This window comes from Homo sapiens, chromosome 13 (assembly GCF_000001405.40).
Source record: "Homo sapiens chromosome 13, GRCh38.p14 Primary Assembly".
Lineage (NCBI taxonomy): Eukaryota > Metazoa > Chordata > Mammalia > Primates > Hominidae > Homo > Homo sapiens.
The window spans coordinates 52,048,198-52,067,680 of NC_000013.11; the positions used below are offsets into that span (position 1 = coordinate 52,048,198).

General features: G+C 42.8%; 1 protein-coding gene across 13 annotated transcripts in view; it reads right to left on the reverse strand.

Moving 5' to 3' along the window:
• NEK5 (NIMA related kinase 5) overlaps positions 1-19,483 on the reverse strand; it is a 95,463-nt gene that overhangs the window by 14,587 nt on the left and 61,393 nt on the right. For 9 of the 13 annotated variants that reach the window (XM_047430292.1, NM_001365552.1, XM_047430291.1 and 6 more), the window contains 3 exons: positions 17,287-17,412; positions 13,622-13,756; positions 1,907-2,024 (listed from right to left, as the gene is read on the reverse strand). In XM_047430292.1, coding sequence (XP_047286248.1) covers positions 1,907-2,024; positions 13,622-13,756; positions 17,287-17,412 — 379 coding nt within the window. Of the gene's footprint in view, positions 1-1,906; positions 2,025-13,621; positions 13,757-16,558; positions 17,413-19,483 lie in introns of those variants that run through there. The other 4 variants (XR_941575.3, XR_941574.3, XM_047430293.1 and 1 more) reach the window with 3 other exon arrangements.

The following is a 19,483-nucleotide window of genomic DNA, read 5'->3' on the forward strand; positions in this document are numbered from 1 at the left end:
TGAACTGACTGCTATACTTCATATGTATTGAAACATCACTGTGTATCCTATGAATATGTAAAATCAAAATTTTTCAATTAAAAAATAAAATTAGGCAGGCACAGTGGCTCACGCCTATAATCCTAGCATTCTGGGAGGCTGAGACGGGAGGATCACTTGAGCCCAGGAGTTCGAGACCAGCCTGAACAACACTGTGAGACCCCCATCTCTATAAAAAATAAATAAAATTAAAATACAAAAAAATCCCATTTAAAATACCAACAACAACAAAATTAAGTGGTACCTATGCCATAAACAAAATTATAAAAATACTTAAAAATACAAAGAAAAAAGAGACATAGAGAGCTATACTATATTTATGGATGTTAAAATTCATAATCACATCAATGCATGAATAGATAAAGAAAATGTGGTGTATATATACAGGATGGAATACTATTCAGCTATTAAAAAGAAGGAAATTCTGGCATTTGTGACAACATGAATAACCCTGGAGGGCATTCTGCCAAGTGAAATAAGCCAGACACAGAAAGACAAATGCTGTATGAGCTCACTAACGTGGAATCAAAAACAATCGAACTCATAGAAGCAGAGAGTAGAATGGTGGTTTCTAGGGGCTGGGGTTGGGAGAAGGTGGAAGGGAAAGCCAGGAGATGTTGGTCAAAGAGTAGAAAATTTCACTTAGACAGGTGGAATAATTTCAGAAGATCTATGGTACAGCATGGTGACTATAGTTAATAACAATTTATTGTATACTTGAAAATTGCTGAGAGTAGATTTTAAGTGCTCTCACCATAAATAAATGATAAGCATGTGACGTAATACATATATTTATTAGCTTGATTTAGCTATTCCACAATGTGTACATATTTCAAAACATCATGTTGTATACCGTAAGTATATATTAATACAATTTTTATTTGCCAATTAAAAATAATTTTTAGGACAAGTGCAGTGGCTCACACCTGTAATCCCAGCACTTTGGGTGGCCAAGGTGGGAGGACAACTTGAAGCTGGGAGTTCAAGACCAGCCTGCACAACATAACAAGACCTCATGTCTACAAAAAATAAAAAAGATTAGCTGGGCATGGTGGCATGTGCCTGTGGTCCCAGCTACTTGGGAGGCTGAGGTGGGAGGATTGCTTGAGCCCAGGAATTCGAGGCTACAGTGAGCTGTGATTGCGCCTCCACACTCCAGCCTGGGCAACAGAGTGAGGCTCTGTCTCAAATAATAATAATAATAATAATAATTTTAAAAGATTCATAATCCCAAATATGCCAATTCCCATAATTTAATCAATAAATAAAATGTCATTCCCACCAAAATCCCAACAACGTTTCTCATACTTTATAAGAGAATGCAAAGAGGTACAGCAGGGGTGTCCAATCTTTTGGCTTCCCTGGCACATTGGAAGAATTGTCTTGGGCCACACATAAAATACACTAACACTAACAACAGCTGATGAACTAAAAAAAAAAAAAAATTGCAAAAAAATCTCATAATGTTTTAAGAAAGTTTACAAACTTGTGTTGGGCCGCATTCAAAGCTGTCCTGGGCTGTGGCTTGGACAAGCTTGATATACTGTGTATGATGAGGAATGGGCAACAATAGTTAAGATAATTTTGAAGAAAATGCTGTGAAGACTGCTAGCACAATATGTGAGGACTGGCCCCACCAGGTATCAGGAGGTACAATGGAAGCCATGGAAGTTAAGACAGAGTATCACTGATGCAAATGTAGAAAATGATGCCATTGGAGAAGAATGGAGAGCCCAGAACCAAACCCGTGCATTGTAAAACTTGATCTTTGTAGCCAGGTCTCAGTTGGCTATTTTGAATGTCTCAACTGCAGCATTTTCACTTTGTACCAGTGCTCGACTTAGGTATCGGCAAATGATCTACTTACGTATCATCATCATCAGATCTTGGTTCTAGTTGTTCCTCATCTACTTCAATGCCAGAGACCATTTCTACCTTCCCTTCATCTTCTTCTTTGGGTAGCCATTGTTTTAATGTTCCCATTGCTAAAGAAATGACAGAGAAAGATATGAAAGCATCCCAGCCTATATACCCAATGAGGGGCATATACCAAAAACCTGATAGTGAACATCAGTATAATGGTAAACCTTTTAGCCATTTCCATCAAAACAGAGAATAAGAAAGGGATAACACAACCAGACAAGTAAAAGTGACAGGAATAAGGATCAGAGAGGAAGAGATAAAACACCTCCACTTTTGGGGTAGATGCTTTCATTGTATTAGAAAAATTAAGAAAATCTTTGTGTAAAAAAAAGATTTACCACAGTTGGACCACTCTTATTCTCCACTGTTTCTATAACCTGAGTCTCCCACCATGGTTAGACTTCATCATGAATGCCTGTAGGGAAAACCCAAAGCACACACACACCTTCATCTTTTTTTTTTTTTTTGCAGTTTTTTTTTTTACTTAAAATGTGCTTTTTATTTTTCCTCTTGGGAAAAGGACTAGATTGAAGATAGCACAATATTTCATTTGTTTTTTTCTTTTTTTTTTTTTTTTTGAGACAGAGTCTGGCTTTGTCACCCAGGCTGGAGTGCAATAGTGCAATCTTAGCTCACTGCAACCTCTGCCTCCCAGGTTCAAGCAATTCTCCTGCCTAAGCCTCCTGAGTAGCTGGGATTACAGGCACATGCCACCACACCTGGCTAATTTTTGTATTTTTAGTAGAGACGGGGTTTCACCATGTTGGTCAGGCTGGTCTCAAACTCCTGACCTCCTGATCCACCTGCCTCGGCCTCCCAAAGTGCTGGGATTACAGGTGTGAGCCACCGTGCCCGGCCCTAGTGTTCGTTTTTTAATACCACAAAGAATTATAAGGCAGGGGCTTTTTTTTTTTTTTAGAACTCTGGTCAGAAGTCAGGTTAATTAAAAGTTTAATATTTAGGCTATAAACGTTTTTTAAAGGCCTTTTCTGCTTTTTCTTCTTTTGGATGCTGTTTCCAGAATTTTTTTTTTCAGTTGCTTCCTATCTTTTTGGCATGACTTCTGCTGAGAAAAATGTACAACTTCTCACTGGCCTTTTAGTTAGCTTAAAAACCTCCCCAAATTGGCTCCTATATGACTTGTTCTTCTATTTCCTTCCACTTCTGCTCCTCCTCCCTTTTGCCATTTTCAATAACACGTGAAGGAATCTGCAGGAGACTTCTAATGACTCTAAAACCCCTCGAAGAATGCAGAAAAGGTGCCATTCATCCCTCCTTAGGTTGGTCTGTTTTCCTAGTGGAGTACAAAGAGTCATGGGCAGGTTCCTCTCAGATCTAAAGCTCTACTGTCTTTTGCAGTAAGTTACTTGATCAATCTGACTTTGGGGTACCAGGGATTACATTGTACTGTGAGAGAGAACTGATTTTTGTGTGTGCAATGGCTGACGAGTCACTGATAAAAGCTGTAGTTTTGGAAGTGGCTGACAGCGGCTGCGGTTGTGAAAGGAAAATAAATCTCGGGACCGATTTATCACTAAGGCAAGAGAAAAGCTGAAAACTACGTCAGGCAAACCTGCCTCCCATTTTATTCCTAAATAAGATAGCTACAATTATAAAAAAGCTACATACCTCCCTCACAATTTGCCCACAGGGAAGTTCCTTGTAGGCCTCAGGATCTTTACCCTAAAACAATTCTGTTGAATTTCACCCTGGCAATGTAAACTGATCGCTGATCTTCACAGGTGCAGGACAGAAAGTCATTCCTCTGCTCACCTGAGACAAATCATATCTGATTGCTTCTGCCCTATTGTTTATGTAAAAATGCAGATTCACTGAGCCAGACTAAATTGTGTATTCAGTGAAAGGCTGATCAAGGACTCAAAAGCATGCAAACTTTTGTCTCTTATCTACCTATGACCTGGAAGCCCTCCCCCCGACCCCACCCCCGCCCTGCTTCAAGTCGCCCCTCTTTTCTGGACCAAACCAAGGTACAATTTACACATAGTAATTGATTTCTCATGTCTCCCTAAAATGTATAAAAGCAAACTGTACCCTGACCACCTTGGACACATGTCATCAGGACCTCCTGAGGCTTTGTCACAGACGCATCTGTAACCTTGGCAAAATAAACTTTCTAAATTGAGACCTATCTCAGATATTTTGGGTACACACAGTGAATGGTTGTTACTGGATGGGGCTACTTACTTCTTTGTGCATTTAGATTGAAAGACAGGTTTGAACACTTGGAGGTTATGGGAACACCACCAAGGTATAAGACTCCTATTGGGGATGGGCTGCTCACAGAGTAGCTTGACTGGCATTAGGTTACCCACCAGCCTCAGGGGAACGTATTTGCAGCAAGGAGCACAGACTCATGGTGTTTCCCTCTTTGTGGGGGACCCAGGATTCAATATAGAAGTGAGATCCTTGATTTTGAAAGATTTAGATGCACTGCCTTCGAGTTTTGCCTGCTTTTCACATATTAAATATTAGGCCCTGTTTTAAAATTCTTTGTAAAAAAAAAAGATTTATATCTATAAAGGAAATCTTCATTTGTAAGGCCTCCCTCTACACCCAAGCCACCAGAAATTTTTAAGATGGGAAAGGCATTGGTTTAAAGTTCACATAACAAACCTTACCTTTGTTCCAGACACCTTTCCTGGCAATCTTGTCTTGACTAAACCTTGACTGTGCCTTTTTTTTTCCAGCAAACAATAGTGTTTAGATCTAAGTTCTGTGCCCTTAAGAGTCATCCTTTCAGAAGTACAAATTTAGGGTTGGCTTGCTAACAATTGTTTAGGGCAATGGAACAGGTAATCAAGAGATTGATAGTCTAAAGTTGGAGGACATGGTGGCTCAGGCTGGGTGCAGTGGCTCACACCTGTAATCCCAGTACTTTGGGAGGCTGAGGCAGGTGGATCACTTGAGGTCAGGAGTTCAAAACCAGCCTGGCCAACATGGTGAAACCCAGTCTGTACTAAAAATACAAAAATTAGCTGGGCATAGTGGCATGCGCCTGTAATCCCAGCTGCTCCAGAGGCTGAGGCAGGAGAATCACTTGAACCTGGGAGGTAGAGGGTGCAGTGAGCCGAAACTCCAACCTGCGTAACAAAGTGAGACTCCGTCTCAAAAATAAATAAATAAATAAAATAAAAAATAAAGTTGGAGGAAAAATTATTTGAAAACTGGCAAATGAAAGCCTTATGAAGCTACAAAACCTGCTTCTGTGTGTATGTTTATATGTATCATGTGTATGTGATTTTGTAACTGAGTGCCCTATTTTTAATTTTTTTTTCCTCCTGCAGCCCTCTGTATTAACTTTTTAGTAATGAAATAAAAATCTTGACTTTCTTTCCACCAAGCACTCCCTTGCATTGCTGGCTTATCTAATTATGTTTGCTTAGAAGTTCCAGAGATTGAATCTTGAGACAATCCAGATGCATATGAAATTCTCCCCCACCAGGAACTTCAAGGCTGCAGCTAATTTACAACCCAGACAAGCCCGAGATGGTACCAGCCCAATTCACCAGATGGGGCAATAACTCAAGATAAGTCATTGGAACAAGTCACGTAGACTTGCACCATCTCGCCCCACATACCCTCCATACCAAACATCCTCTTCTTAAGCCCTAGCATTTTGCCTGAGAATTCCGAAGTGGTTTTATTAAGGCAGGAGCCTGAACCATCTCCCCACTGCTAGCGCTGAAAAATAAAGGCACTTTCCTTCTACTGCACCTTGTCCTTGTTATTCAATTTTGCAAGCGGAGGGCAGCTGAACTTGTGTTTTGTTGATATTTCACTACCAAAATATATGAAAGAGCTATAGTTAATTGGCTTAAAGAAAAAGTAAGTGCTTAAATGAAATATTTTATCAGAAAAGTAGAAATGCACTAAAATGCCTTTTAATTCTTGTAACTTGGGTAAATTTTTGGTAAATAAGACTAGTTTTTTGGTTTAATGAAAGCAGCAGTGTCATTTGATCAGCAAAACGTCCATGTATTAACCTTAGGGCTTTTGCTTTGGTGGTGACTGCCTAACATTCACAAACTGTAGAAATGATTAATAAAGAAATAAGATGATGGCTAGATTTGTCCAATGTTTCCTGAAAATTTCCAAACATAGTTGTTATGAAGGAATAAATAAATGTAATGAAATAAGAGGTTTTTGTTTGTTTGTTTAGAGTTGGAGTCTCACTCTGTCACACTAACTGGAGTGCAGCAGCACAATCATGGCTCATGGCAGCCTCCAACTCCAGGGCTCAAGTGATCCTCCTGCCTCAGCCTCCCAAAGGGCTGGGATTACAGGCATGAGCCTGGCCAGGTAGAAGTTTTAATAATAATTAGGTTTTCCAAAAAGACAGCAGTAACCTCTGCAGACTTAAAAGTCCCTGTCTGACAGCTTTGAAGAGAGCAGTGGTTCTCCCAGCACGCAGCTGGAGATCTGAGAACAGGCAGACTGCCTCCTCAAGTGGGTCCCTGACCCCTGACCCCTGAGCAGCCTAACTGGGAGGCACCCCCCAGCAGGGGCAGACTGACACCTCACACGGCCGGGTACTCCAACAGACCTGCAGCTGAGGGTCCTGTCTGTTAGAAGGAAAACTAACAAACAGAAGGGACATCCACACCAAAAACCCATCTGTACATCACCATCATCAAAGACCAAAAGTAGATAAAACCACAAAGATGGGGAAAAAACAGAGCAGAAAAACTGGAAACTCTAAAAAGCAGAGCACCTCTCCTCCTCCAAAGGAACGCAGTTCCTCACCAGCAACAGAACAAAGCTGGACGGAGAATGACTTTGACAAGCTGAGAGAAGAAGGCTTCAGACGATCAAATTACTCCGAGCTATGGGAGGACATTCAAACCAAAGGCAAAGAAGTTGAAAACTTTGAAAAAAATTTAGAAGAATGTATGACTAGAATAACCAATACAGAGAAGTGCTTAAAGGAGCTGATGGAGCTGAAAACCAAGGCTCGAGAACTACGTGAAGAATGCAGAAGCCTCAGGAGCCGATGCGATCAACTGGAAGGAAGGGTATCAGTGATGGAAGATCAAATGAATGAAATGAAGCAAGAAGGGAAGTTTAGAGAAAAAAGAATAAAAAGAAACGAGCAAAGCCTCCAAGAAATATGGGACTATGTGAAAAGACCAAATCTACGTCTGATTGGTGTACCTGAAAGTGATGGGGAGAATGGAACCAAGTTGGAAAACACTCTGCAGGATATTATCCAGGAGAACTTCCCCAATCTAGCAAGGCAGGCCAACATTCAGGTTCAGGAAATACAGAGAACACCACAAAGATACTCCTCGAGAAGAGCAACTCCAAGACACATAATTGTCAGATTCACCAAAGTTGAAATGAAGGAAAAAATGTTAAGGGCAGCCAGAGAGAAATGTCAGGTTATCCTCAAAGGGAAGCCCATCAGACTAACAGTGGATCTCTCGGCAGAAACTCTACAAGCCAGAACAGAGGGGGGCCAATATTCAACATTCTTAAAGAAAAGAATTTTCAACCCAGAATTTCATATCCAGCCAAACTAAGCTTCATAAGTGAAGGAGAAATAAAATACTTTACAGACAAGCAAATGCTGAGAGATTTTGTCACCACCGGCCTGCCCTACAAGAGCTCCTGAAGGAAGCGCTAAACATGGAAAGGAACAACCGGTACCAGCCACTGCAAAATCATGCCAAAATGTAAAGACCATCGAGACTACGAAGAAACTGCACCAACTAACGAGCGAAATAACCAGCTAACATCATAATGACAGGATCAAATTCACACATAACAATATTAACTTTAAATGTAAATGGACTAAATGCTCCAATTAAAAGACACAGACTGGCAAATTGGATAAAGAGTCAAGACCCATCAGTGTGCTGTATTCAGGAAACCCATCTCACATGCAGAGACACACATACGCTCAAAATAAAAGGATGGAGGAAGATCTACCAAGCAAATGGAAAACAAAAAAAGGCAGGGTTGCAATCCTAGTCTCTGATAAAACAGACTTTAAACCAACAAAGATCAAAAGAGACAAAGAAGGCCATTACATAATGGTAAAGGGATCAATTCAACAAGAAGAGCTAACTATCCTAAATATATATGCACCCAATACAGGAGCACCCAGATTCATAAAGCAAGTCCTGAGCCACCTACAAAGAGACTTAGACTCTCACACATTAATAATGGGAGACTTTAACACCCCACTGTCAACATTAGACAGATCAACGAGACAGAAAATCAACAAGGATACCCAGGAATTGAACTCAGCTCTGCACCAAGCGGACCTAATAGACATCTACAGAACTCTCCACCCCAAATCAACAGAATATACATTTTTTTCAGCACCACACCACACCTATTCCAAAATTGACCACATACTTGGAAGTAAAGCTCTCCTCAGCAAATGTAAAAGAACAGAAATTATAACAAACTATCTCTCAGACCACAGTGCAATCAAACTAGAACTCAGGATTAAGAATCTCACTCAAAACCGCTCAACTACATGGAAACTGAACAACCTGCTCCTGAATGACTAGTGGGTACATAACGATATGAAGGCAGAAATAAAGATGTTCTTTGAACCCAACGAGAACAAAGATACAACATACCAGAATCTCTGGGACGCATTCAAAGCAGTGTGTAGAGGGAAATTTATAGCACTAAATGCCCACAAGAGAAAGCAGGAAAGATCCAAAATTGACACCCTAACATCATAATTAAAAGAACTAGAAAAGCAAGAGCAAACACATTCAAAAGCTAGCAGAACGCAAGAAATAACTAAAATCAGAGCAGAACTGAAGGAAATAGAGACACAAAAAACCCTTCAAAAAATTAATGAATCCAGGAGCTGGTTTTTCGAAAGGATCAACAAAATTGATAAACCGCTAGCAAGACTAATAAAGAAAAAAAGAGAGAAGAATCAAATAGATGCAATAAAAAATGATAAAGGGGATATCACCACCAATCCCACAGAAATACGAACTACCATCAGAGAATACTACAAACATCTCTACGCAAATAAACTAGAAAATCTAGAAGACATGGATAAATTCCTCGACACATACACTCTCCCAAGACTAAACCAGGAAGAAGTTGAATCTCTGAATAGACCAATAACAGGATCTGAAATTGTGGCAATAATCAATAGCTTACCAACCAAAAAGAGTCCAGGACCAGATGGATTCACAGCCGAATTCTACCAGAGGTACAAGGAGGAACTGGTACCATTCCTTCTGAAACTATTCCAATCAATAGAAAAAGAGGGAATCCTCCCTAACTCATTTTATGAGGCCAGCATCATCCTGATACCAAAGCCTGGCAGAGACACAACCACAAAAGAGAATTTTAGACCAATATCCTTGATGAACATTGATGCAAAAATCCTCAATAAAATACTGGCAAACCGAATCCAGCAGCACATCAAAAAGCTTATCCACCATGATCAAGTGGGCTTCAACCCTGGGATGCAAGGCTGGTTCAATAATATACGCAAATCAATAAATGTAATCCAGCATATAAACAGAACCAAAGACAAAAACCACATGATTATCTCAATAGATGCAGAAAAGGCCTTTGACAAAATTCAACAACCCTTCATGCTAAAAACTCTCAATAAATTAGGTATTGATGGGACGTATCTCAAAACAATAAGAGCTATCTATGACAAACCCACAGCCAATATCATACTGAATGGGCAAAAACTGGAAGCATTCCCTTTGAAAACTGGCACAAGACAGGGATGCCCTCTCTCACCACTCCTATTCAACATAGTGTTGGAAGTTCTGGCCAGGGCAATGAGGCAGGAGAAGCAAATAAAGAGTATTCAATTAGGAAAAGAGGAAGTCAAATTGTCTGTGTTTGCGGATGACATGATTGTGTATCTAGAAAACCCCATTGTCTCAGCCCAAAATCTCCTTAAGCTGATAAGCAACTTCAGCAAAGTCTCAGGATACAAAATCAATGTACAAAAATCACAAGCATTCTTATACACCAACAACAGACAAACAGAGAGCCAAATCATGAGTGAACTCCCATTCACAATTGCTTCAAAGAGAATAAAATACCTAGGAATCCAACTTACAAGGGATGTGAAGGACCTCTTCAAGGAGAACTACAAACCACTGCTCAAGGAAATAAAAGAGGATACAAACAAATGGAAGAACATTCTATGCTCATGGGTAGGAAGAATCAATATCGTGAAAATGGCCATACTGCCCAAGGTAATTTACAGATTCAATGCCATCCCCATCAAGCTACCAATGACTTTCTTCACAGAATTGGAAAAAACTACTTTAAAGTTCATATGGAACCAAAAAAGAGCCTGCATCGCCAAGTCAATCCTGAGCCAAAAGAACAAAGCTGGAGGCATCACACTACCTGACTTCAAACTATACTACAAGGCTACAGTAACCAAAACAGCATGGTACTGCTACCAAAACAGAGATATAGATCAATGGAACAGAACAGAGCCCTCAGAAATAACGCCACATATCTACAACTATCTGATCTTTGACAAACCTGACAAAAACAAGCAATGGGGAAAGGATTCCCTATTTAATAAATGGTGCTGGGAAAACTGGCTAGCCACATGTAGAAAGCTGAAACTGGATCCCTTCCTTATACCTTATACAAAAATCAATTCAAGATGGATTAAAGACTTAAACGTTAGACCTAAAACCATAAAAACCATAGAAGAAAACCTAGGCTTTACCATTCAGGACATAGGCATGGGCAAGGACTTCATGTCTAAAACACCAAAAGCAATGGCAACAAAAGCCAAAATTGACAAATGGGATCTAATTAAACTAAAGAGCTTCTGCACAGCAAAAGAAACTACCATCAGAGTGAACAGGCAACCTACAAAATGGGAGAAAATTTTCGCAACCTACTCATCTGACAAAGGGCTAATATCCAGAATCTACAATGAACTCAAACAAATTTACAAGAAAAAAACAAACAACCCCATCAAAAAGTGGGCAAAGGACATGAACAGACACTTCTCAAAAGAAGACATTTATGCAGCCAAAAAACACATGAAAAAATGCTCACCATCACTGGCCATCAGAGAAATGCAAATCAAAACCACAATGAGATACCATCTCACACCAGTTAGAATGGCAATCATTAAAAAGTCAGGAAACAACAGGTGCTGGAGAGGATGTGGAGAAATAGGAACACTTTTACACTGTTGGTGGGACTGTAAACTAGTTCAACCATTGTGGAAGTCAGTGTGGCGATTCCTCAGGGATCTAGAACTGGAAATACCATTTGACCCAGCCATCCCATTACTGGGTATATACCCAAAGGACTATAAATCATGCTGTTATAAAGACAGATGCACACGTATGTTTATTGAGGCATTATTCACAATAGCAAAGACTTGGAACCAACCCAAATGTCCAACAATGATAGACTGGATTAAGAAAATGTGGCACATATACACCATGGAATACTATGCACCCATAAAAAATGATGAGTTCACGTCCTTTGTAGGGACATGGATGAAATTGGAAATCATCATTCTCAGTAAACTATCGCAAGAACAAAAAACCAAACACCGCATATTCTCACTCATAGGTGGGAATTGAACAATAAGAACACATGGACACAGGAAGGGGAACATCACACTCTGGGGCCTGTTGTGGGGTGGGGGGACGGGGGAGGGATAGCATTGGGAGATATACCTAATGCTTGATGACGAGTTAGTGGGTGCAGCACACCAGCATGGCACATGTATACATATGTAACTAACCTGCACATTGTGCACATGTACCCTAAAACTTAAAGTATAATAATAAAAAAATAAAAAAATAATAATAATCATAATAATAATTAGGTTTTCTAATGTGTTTACTTAAAAAAGGTTTTTCAAATCCTTTTGGTAACTTTTTCTCCTCAAGTTTTGCTAAGCTAAATTAAATGATAGGTATTCATTATCTAGATCATCTCCAAATAACATATAATGCTAAGATATTAATGACTAATTATGAGTTTATAATCTTAAACTTTTGGCTTCATACTTCAGAGAAACAAAGATACTTAGATGTGTTAATAAAATGTCCTGTTCCACATAAAAAAATTCCATTAGAAAGCCTCTTTCAAAATATTATAAAATGTGTATTCATTAACTGTTGGGACTCAACTGACAGTTAAAAATTACTATGTTTTTGTAGTGGTAATTAACTTTGTAAACTTTTTTTTGTTTTTTTTTAGACAAAGTCCCACTCTTGTCCCCCAGGCTGGAGTGCAATGGCGCCATCTCGGCTCACTGCAACCTCCGCCACCCGGGTTCAAGCGTTCCTCCTGCCTCAACCTCCCAAGTAGCTGGGATTACAGGCGCCTGCCACCATGCCCACCTAATTTTTGTATTTTTAGTAGAGACGAGGTTTGGCCAGGCTGGTCTCGAACTCCTGACCTCAGGTGATCCACCTGCCTCGGCCTCCCAAAGTGCCGGGATTACAGGCATAAGCCACCGCGCCCAGCCTAACTTTGTAAACATTTATCAGCCTCCAAGAATATCTAGTACCTTAGTTTTTCTACTTGTTTTTCAACCTCACTTCACCACAAAACCAGGTCCCAGACCTCACACTCATGCAGATGCTCCTGGGATCCCTGCTTGCCTGCAGTAGCTTTTCTTGTAGCACTTCACACTTGAATATCTGATATAAGAACAAACCCTCATTATGATGTGATTTCCCTCAAACTTTATTTTTTATTTTTAGAGACAAGTTCTTGCTCTGTCAGCCAGGCTGGAGAGCAGTGATCATAGTTCACAGCATCCTCTAACTCCTAGCCTCAAGAGATCCTCCTGCCTCAGCCTCCCAAAGTCCTGGAATTATAGGCGTGAGCCATTACACCCAGGCCCCTCAAATTTTAGAAAATGATGGTTGGCTTCCCTTAAAGCAGTGGTCCCCAACCTTTCTGGCACCAGGGACCAGTTTCATGGAAGACAATTTTTCCATGGGGGCAGGGAAGGGGAGTGGTTTTGGGGACCTCAGATCATCAGGCATTAGATTCTCATAAGGAGCACACAGCGTAGATCTCTCACATGCACAGTTCACAATAGGGTTCATGCTCCCATGAGAACTGAATGCAGCTGCTGATCTGACAGGAGGCAGAGCTCAGGCAGTAATGCTCACCTGCCTGCCACTCACCTCCTGCTGTGTGGCCTGGTTCCTAACAGGCCACAGACTGGTACTGGTCTGCGGCCCGAGGGTTGGGGGCTCCTGCCTTAAAGTAAACAAAAGCAGAATCTTGCTAAAAATTGGAGGAAAAAAACAAATGATATTATGTTGTATTTTTATTGTCCATGGGATAGTAATTTGAGTCCACTGAATAGCTGTCAGAAATAAACTGACTCAGGTAGAGCAAAACAATACTGGATCGTCAGCTACAAAGCCACTAGCCCTACTTAAACTTTTCACCAGTTGTCAGCTGATTGCATTAAAGAAAATTACACCACTCTCCTGGAAAGCTCATGTCTTTTGTTAGTAGCATTTGGAATAGGATTGGACAAAGCAAATCAGCTTCTGAAAAGGCTAGACACCCTCCCAATTCTCTCTCCCAGCTGAAGGTATTTTTATCCCCTTTCAGCATTTGCAAGTCTTGACAAAATTCCTCTGAGGACTGGTTATGTTGTTAAAAATAAACTACATACCAAATTCTTCATCGGCAGAAAATGAGCTACTCGTTAGATGTGCTGCTGCCAAAACACTCATTAAAGTTCCTGGAGCTTCATGCCGCCACTGTTTCCTGTTTCCTGGAATGCCTTCAATCACAATAACTTGGCCATCTGAAGAGGAAAGTGTTATTAAAAATAAAAATGCTTCTTCACTGGCATTTGTATAAGATCAAAGAATGTTAAAACCTTGGAGGTAACCTAATCCCACCTCTCATTTTATTAATAAAGAAGCCGAGATATAGAAAAGTTTAGTGACTTCTTGTCACATAGCTGATGAGGGGAAGAGTCATTCATTGCTTTGTAAACTGGCCATTTTGGTGTGATAACAATTTTTATTCTATTTGCCTATTTTAAATTGATTTATAACTTAATAAGACAATTGAGGGGAAACTCAATTTATAGACATAATTGCTCATTTCAGTGATATACTTACATATTTCAACTTACAGCACATGTACAAATTTTAGCTCCCTCTCAGCCCATGTTATCAAGAACATAGGAAATAAGTAATAAAAATCTTTACCACCTGTGAAGATAACATCCAGAGGTTGGAGGCTGCTATGGCCCTCTTCTTTTTTTTCTTTCTTTCTTTTTTTTTTTGAGACAGAGTCTCACTCTGTCAGCCAGGAGTGTAGTGTCACGATCTTGGCTCACTGCAACCTCCGCCGCCCAGGTTCAAGCAATTCTCCTGCCTCAGCCTCCCGAGTAGCTGGGATTACAGGTGTGTGCCATCACACCCGGCTAATTTTTCTATTTTTAGTAGAGACAGGGTTTCACCATGTTGGCCAGGCTGATCTTGAACTCCTGACCTCATGATCTGCCCACCTCAGCCTCCCAAAGTGCTGGGATTACAGGCGTAAACCACTGCACCCAGCCTGCTATGATCCTCTTCTAAGGAAAGGCTATGTGAGAGGTTCAAATGTAAATGATGGAATTTAGGTAGAAAACATAATCATATCCTAAACACTCCTAACATTTAAATAGCACATTGGCTTCAAAGCAATTTATATGTATCTTTGAACTATTAACTCTCGAAATCTTGTAGAGATAGCTACTCTTTTAATTCTTATTTTACTGGTGGAAAAAAAAATGACCCGACAACAATGACAACAGCAGCAGCTACCACTACTATGGCTATTACTGTGCTCAGCAGTAATAACATACTATTAAGAATGACAATCTCTCCCTCTCCCTCTCCCCACGGTCCCCCTCTCCCCACGGTCCCCCTCTCCCCACGGTCTCCCTCTCCCTCTCTTTCCACGGTCTCCCTCTGATGCCGAGCTGAAGCTGGACTGTACTGTTGCCATCTCGGCTCACTGCAACCTCCCTGCCTGATTCTCCTGCCTCAGCCTGCCGAGTGCCCGTGATTACAGACACGCGTCGCCACGCCTGACTGGTTTTCGTACTTTTTTGGTGGAGACGGGGTTTCGCTGTGTTGGCCGGGCTGGTCTCCAGCTCCTAACCGCGAGTGATCTGCCAGCCTCGGCCTCCCGAGGTGCCGGGTTTGCAGACGGAGTCTGGTTCACTCAGTGCTCAATGGTGCCCAGGCTGGAGTGCAGTGGCGTGATCGCGGCTCGCTACAACCTCCACCTCCCAGCCGCCTGCCTTGGCCTCCCAAAGTGCTGAGATTGCAGCCTCTGCCCGGCCGCCACCCCGTCTGGGAAGTGAGGAGCGTCTCTGCCCGGCCGCCCATCGTCTGGGACGTGAGGAGCCCCTCTGCCTGGCTGCCCAGTCTGGAAAGTGAGGAGCGTCTCTGCCCAGCCGCCATCCCATCTAGGAAGTGAGGAGCATCTCTGCCCGGCCACCCATCGTCTGAGATGTGGGGAGCACCTCTGCCCTGCCGCCCCGTCTGGGATGTGAGAAGCGCCTCTGCCCGGCCGCGACCCCGTCTGGGAGGTGAGGAGCGTCTCTGCCCGGCCACCCCATCTGAGAAGTGAGGAGACCCTCCGCCTGGCAACCGCCCCATCTGAGAAGTGAGGAGCCCCTTCGCCCGGCAGCCACCCTGTCTGGGAAGTGAGGAGCGTCTCCGCCCGGCAGCCTCCCCATCCGGGAAGGAGGTGGGGGTCAGCCCCTGCCAGGCCAGCCGCCCCGTCCGGGAGGGAGGTGGGGGGGTCAGCCCCCCGCCCAGCCAGCCACCCCGTCCGGGAGGGAGGTGGGGGGGGGGGTCAGCCCCCCGCCCGGCCAGCTGCCCCATCCGGGAGGGAGGTGGGGGGGTCAGCCCCCCGCCCGGCCAGCCACCCCATCCGGGAGGTGAGGGGTGCCTCTGCCCGGCCGCCCCTACTGGGAAGTCAGGAGCCCCTCTGCCTGGCCAGCCGCCCTGTCCGGGAGGGAGGTGGGGGGGTCAGCCCCCCGCCCGGCCAGCCGCCCCGTCCGGGAGGGAGGTGGGGGGGTCAGCCCCCCGCCCAGCCAGCCGCCCCGTCCGGGAGGTGAGGGGCGCCTCTGCCCGGCCGCCCCTACTGGGAAGTGAGGAGCCCCTCTGCCTGGCCAGCCGCCCCATCCAGGAGGGAGGTGGGGGGGTCAGCCCCCCCGCCCGGCCAGCCGCCCCGTCCGGGAGGTGGGGGAGCCAGCCCCCCGCCCGGCCAGCCACCCCGTCCGGGAGGGAGGTGGGGGGGGTCAGCCCCCCGCCCGGCCAGCCGCCCCGTCTGGGAGGGAGGTGGGGGGGTCAGCCCCCCGCCTGGCCAGCCGCCCCGTCCGGGAGGTGAGGGGCACCTCTGCCCGGCCGCCCCTACTGGGATGTGAGGAGCCCCTCTGCCCGGCCACCACCCTGTCTGGGAGGTGTACCCAACAGCTCATTGAGAACGGGCCGGGATGACAATGGCGGTTTTGTGGAATAGAAAGGGCGGAAAGGTGGGGAAAAGATTGAGAAATCGGATGGTTGCCGTGTCTGTGTAGAAAGAAGTAGACATGGGAGACTTTTCATTTTGTTCCGTACTAAGAAAAATTCTTCTGCCTTGGGATCCTGCTAATCGGTGACCTTACCCCCAACCCTGTGCTCTCTGAAACATGTGCTGTGTCCACTCAGAGATGAATGGATTAAGGGCAGTGCAAGATGTGCTTTGTTAAACAGATGCTTGAAGGCAGCATGCTCGTTAAGAATCATCACCACTCCCTAATCTCAAGTACCCAGGGACACAAACACTGCGGAAGGCCACAGGGTCCTCTGCCTAGAAAAACCAGAGACCTTTGTTCACTTGTTTATCTGCTGACCTTCCCTCCACTATTGTCCTATGACCCTGCCAAATCCCCCTCTGCGAGAAACACCCAAGAATGATCAATAAAAAATAAAAATTAAAAAAAAAAAAATGACCCTATGAAATCGCAAAAAAAGTTGTTGAGCTGGCCTTGGAAGGTAAATCAAGTCAGCTGTCCTTCCTCACGCATTTTCCCTCACTCTGAGGAAGGTGGCATCCTGGATTTTTCCTCCTTTATATGTGCATGTCTAGAGTGGTCATTTGTCCAGGATAATTAGCAGGCAAGTCTCTTTAGGCATAGGGAGATATCAAAACAACATATTTGAAAGTGTCTGATACAAGATCTATAGGGTGTATAGTGAGAAGTAGACTATCACATCAGGATGAGCACTGGGCTGTACGGGTCCTTGGTCTTCCCTTCCTGACGACTGACGCTAAGCACAGACTCACTGTCAGGCCCCGTGGGGCAGGTGGAGGTGATGTCGGCCACTGCCATCATCTGCAGCAGAGTCTGAGGCGCTCCTCCATCCCACTGCCTCCTGTTTCCCACAGCAGCTACAGTCTGCGTGGAAAACCCTGGGTGTAAGAAAACAACTCATTAATTCGAAAGCAGTCAAAGTGTGACTAATTGTCCCAAACACTTCTTAGGAACTCAGAGGCAGTTTATCAGCAGGTATGTTCAAAACCAGAAAAATGACCACCCTTGTTCTAACAGATATAAGACTGAAATGACAAAAAGGTGTCAACACTGTTTTACTTTTACTCTTAGTGTTTGACTGACTAGCCAATATTGCTAAATGCTAAGGAAATATCAGTGACACAAATGGACTTCCTTGAGGCATCTATGAGAACTTTCAATCTAGTCTTTTTCCACAGAAACAAAATCTGTTCCATTTTCTTAATTTAAAAAATAACTTGTTCTGTCTTTTTCCTTATTACTGTTTTCACTATAGAAAATCTGAAAATCAGGTAGGTAGAAGAAAAAAAAAAATCACCCATAATCTCACTGTCCAGAGACTATAATAATTTCAATTTTTCCCTTCTGCATATGGTTTTTGCTTTGTTTTGAAACAAAAAATTGGACCACATACTACATGTCCTCTCAGAGCTTGCTTTTTTCAATCAGCTACAGATCATATCCAGGTTATTAAGTATTCTTCTATACAGCTGTTTTAAAGCAATCATAATATTCTGCTTTATGAATGTAATATAACTAATCATTTCCTGCCAGATTTTTAGGTTGCTAGTGATTTTTCACTATTAAAAATAATACCATTATATAATGACCTCATTTGTAGCTAAATTTTTGTGGACATTTATGATTATTTAAACTAGATACATTATTGAAAATGACAATTCTAGGGGTTAGTATGATTTGCTTTATTACAGCTTTTTGTTGTTAAAGTTGAATTATTACTAATTTATTCTGTGGTTTTTTTTTCTATGTATTTTGAACAGATAGCTCTTCCCTGTTCAAAAAAAATTAACTCGGCCGGGTGCAGTGGCTCACGCCTGTAATCTCAGCACTTTGGGAGGCCGAGGCGGGCGGATCACAAGGTCAAGAGATCGAAACCATCCTGGCCAACATGGTGAAACCCCGTCTCTATCAAAAATATAAAAATTAGCTGGGCGTGGTAGCGGGTGCCTGTAGTCCCAGCTACTCGGGAGGCTGAGGCAGGAGAATCGCTTGAACCCAGAAGGCGGAGTTTGCAGTGAGCCGAGATCACGCCTTTGCACTCCAGCCTTGGTGACAGAGTGAGACGCTGTCTCAAAAAAAAAAAAAAATGACCTATGTTCTTTTATTTCATTTTCTAATGTATAACTTTTTACATATAACTCTTTTTTAAAAAATTTATTTTGTTGTATCATATTATATAGGGTCTGATTTCACAATCTTCCCCAAACTGTTAACCAATTGGCCCAGCAGCATTTATCTGAATAATCCTTTCTTTTCACGCTGACTTGTGATGTTACTTTTCATTTGTGCTGAATTATGATACATACTAGGATCTGTTTCTAACTTTCTCTTCTCACTGTTTTAACTATTTGGGTGCTACTATCATATTGTGTGAATGACTATAATTTCTGTAATATATTTTGACATTTGGAAATGTAAGTACCACTTCACTGTTCTTCTTTTTCAAAATTTTTGGCCACTTAAGAAGCTCCAGGATTCTCCAACCTGCCAAGATCTCCCTATACCATTAAAAAAAAAATCCTACTGTGGTTTTGATTGAAATAGCCATAAATCCACATATTGAGGGAGGAGAAAGAAAGAATCAGTTAGGCAGGCAGTTAGGGCAGGTCCTCAGAATTCTTTCAAACAAAAGAACAGTCTGAAAAATCAAGCTGCAGACACAGATAAGGGAACTAGCACAGGAAGCTTGCCTAAAACATGCCCACAGCTGCACAGATAAGGGAGCAAAGTCCAACACAGAAATGCCTTTGTTCTTTGTGCAATCAGTGGGCCTCTAGCAAATAGTTCCTTCTCCTTTTGTGGGCATGTACATGGTGGGCCCCAGTGAGCACATTCCTTTCCTTTTTGGGGCATACTTTGGACTGTGAGCCAAGCCTCTGTGAACCATCACTCCAACACTCAGCTGGTTGTGGGCCAAGGCTCCAACTGGTCTTTACACCACGTCATTTT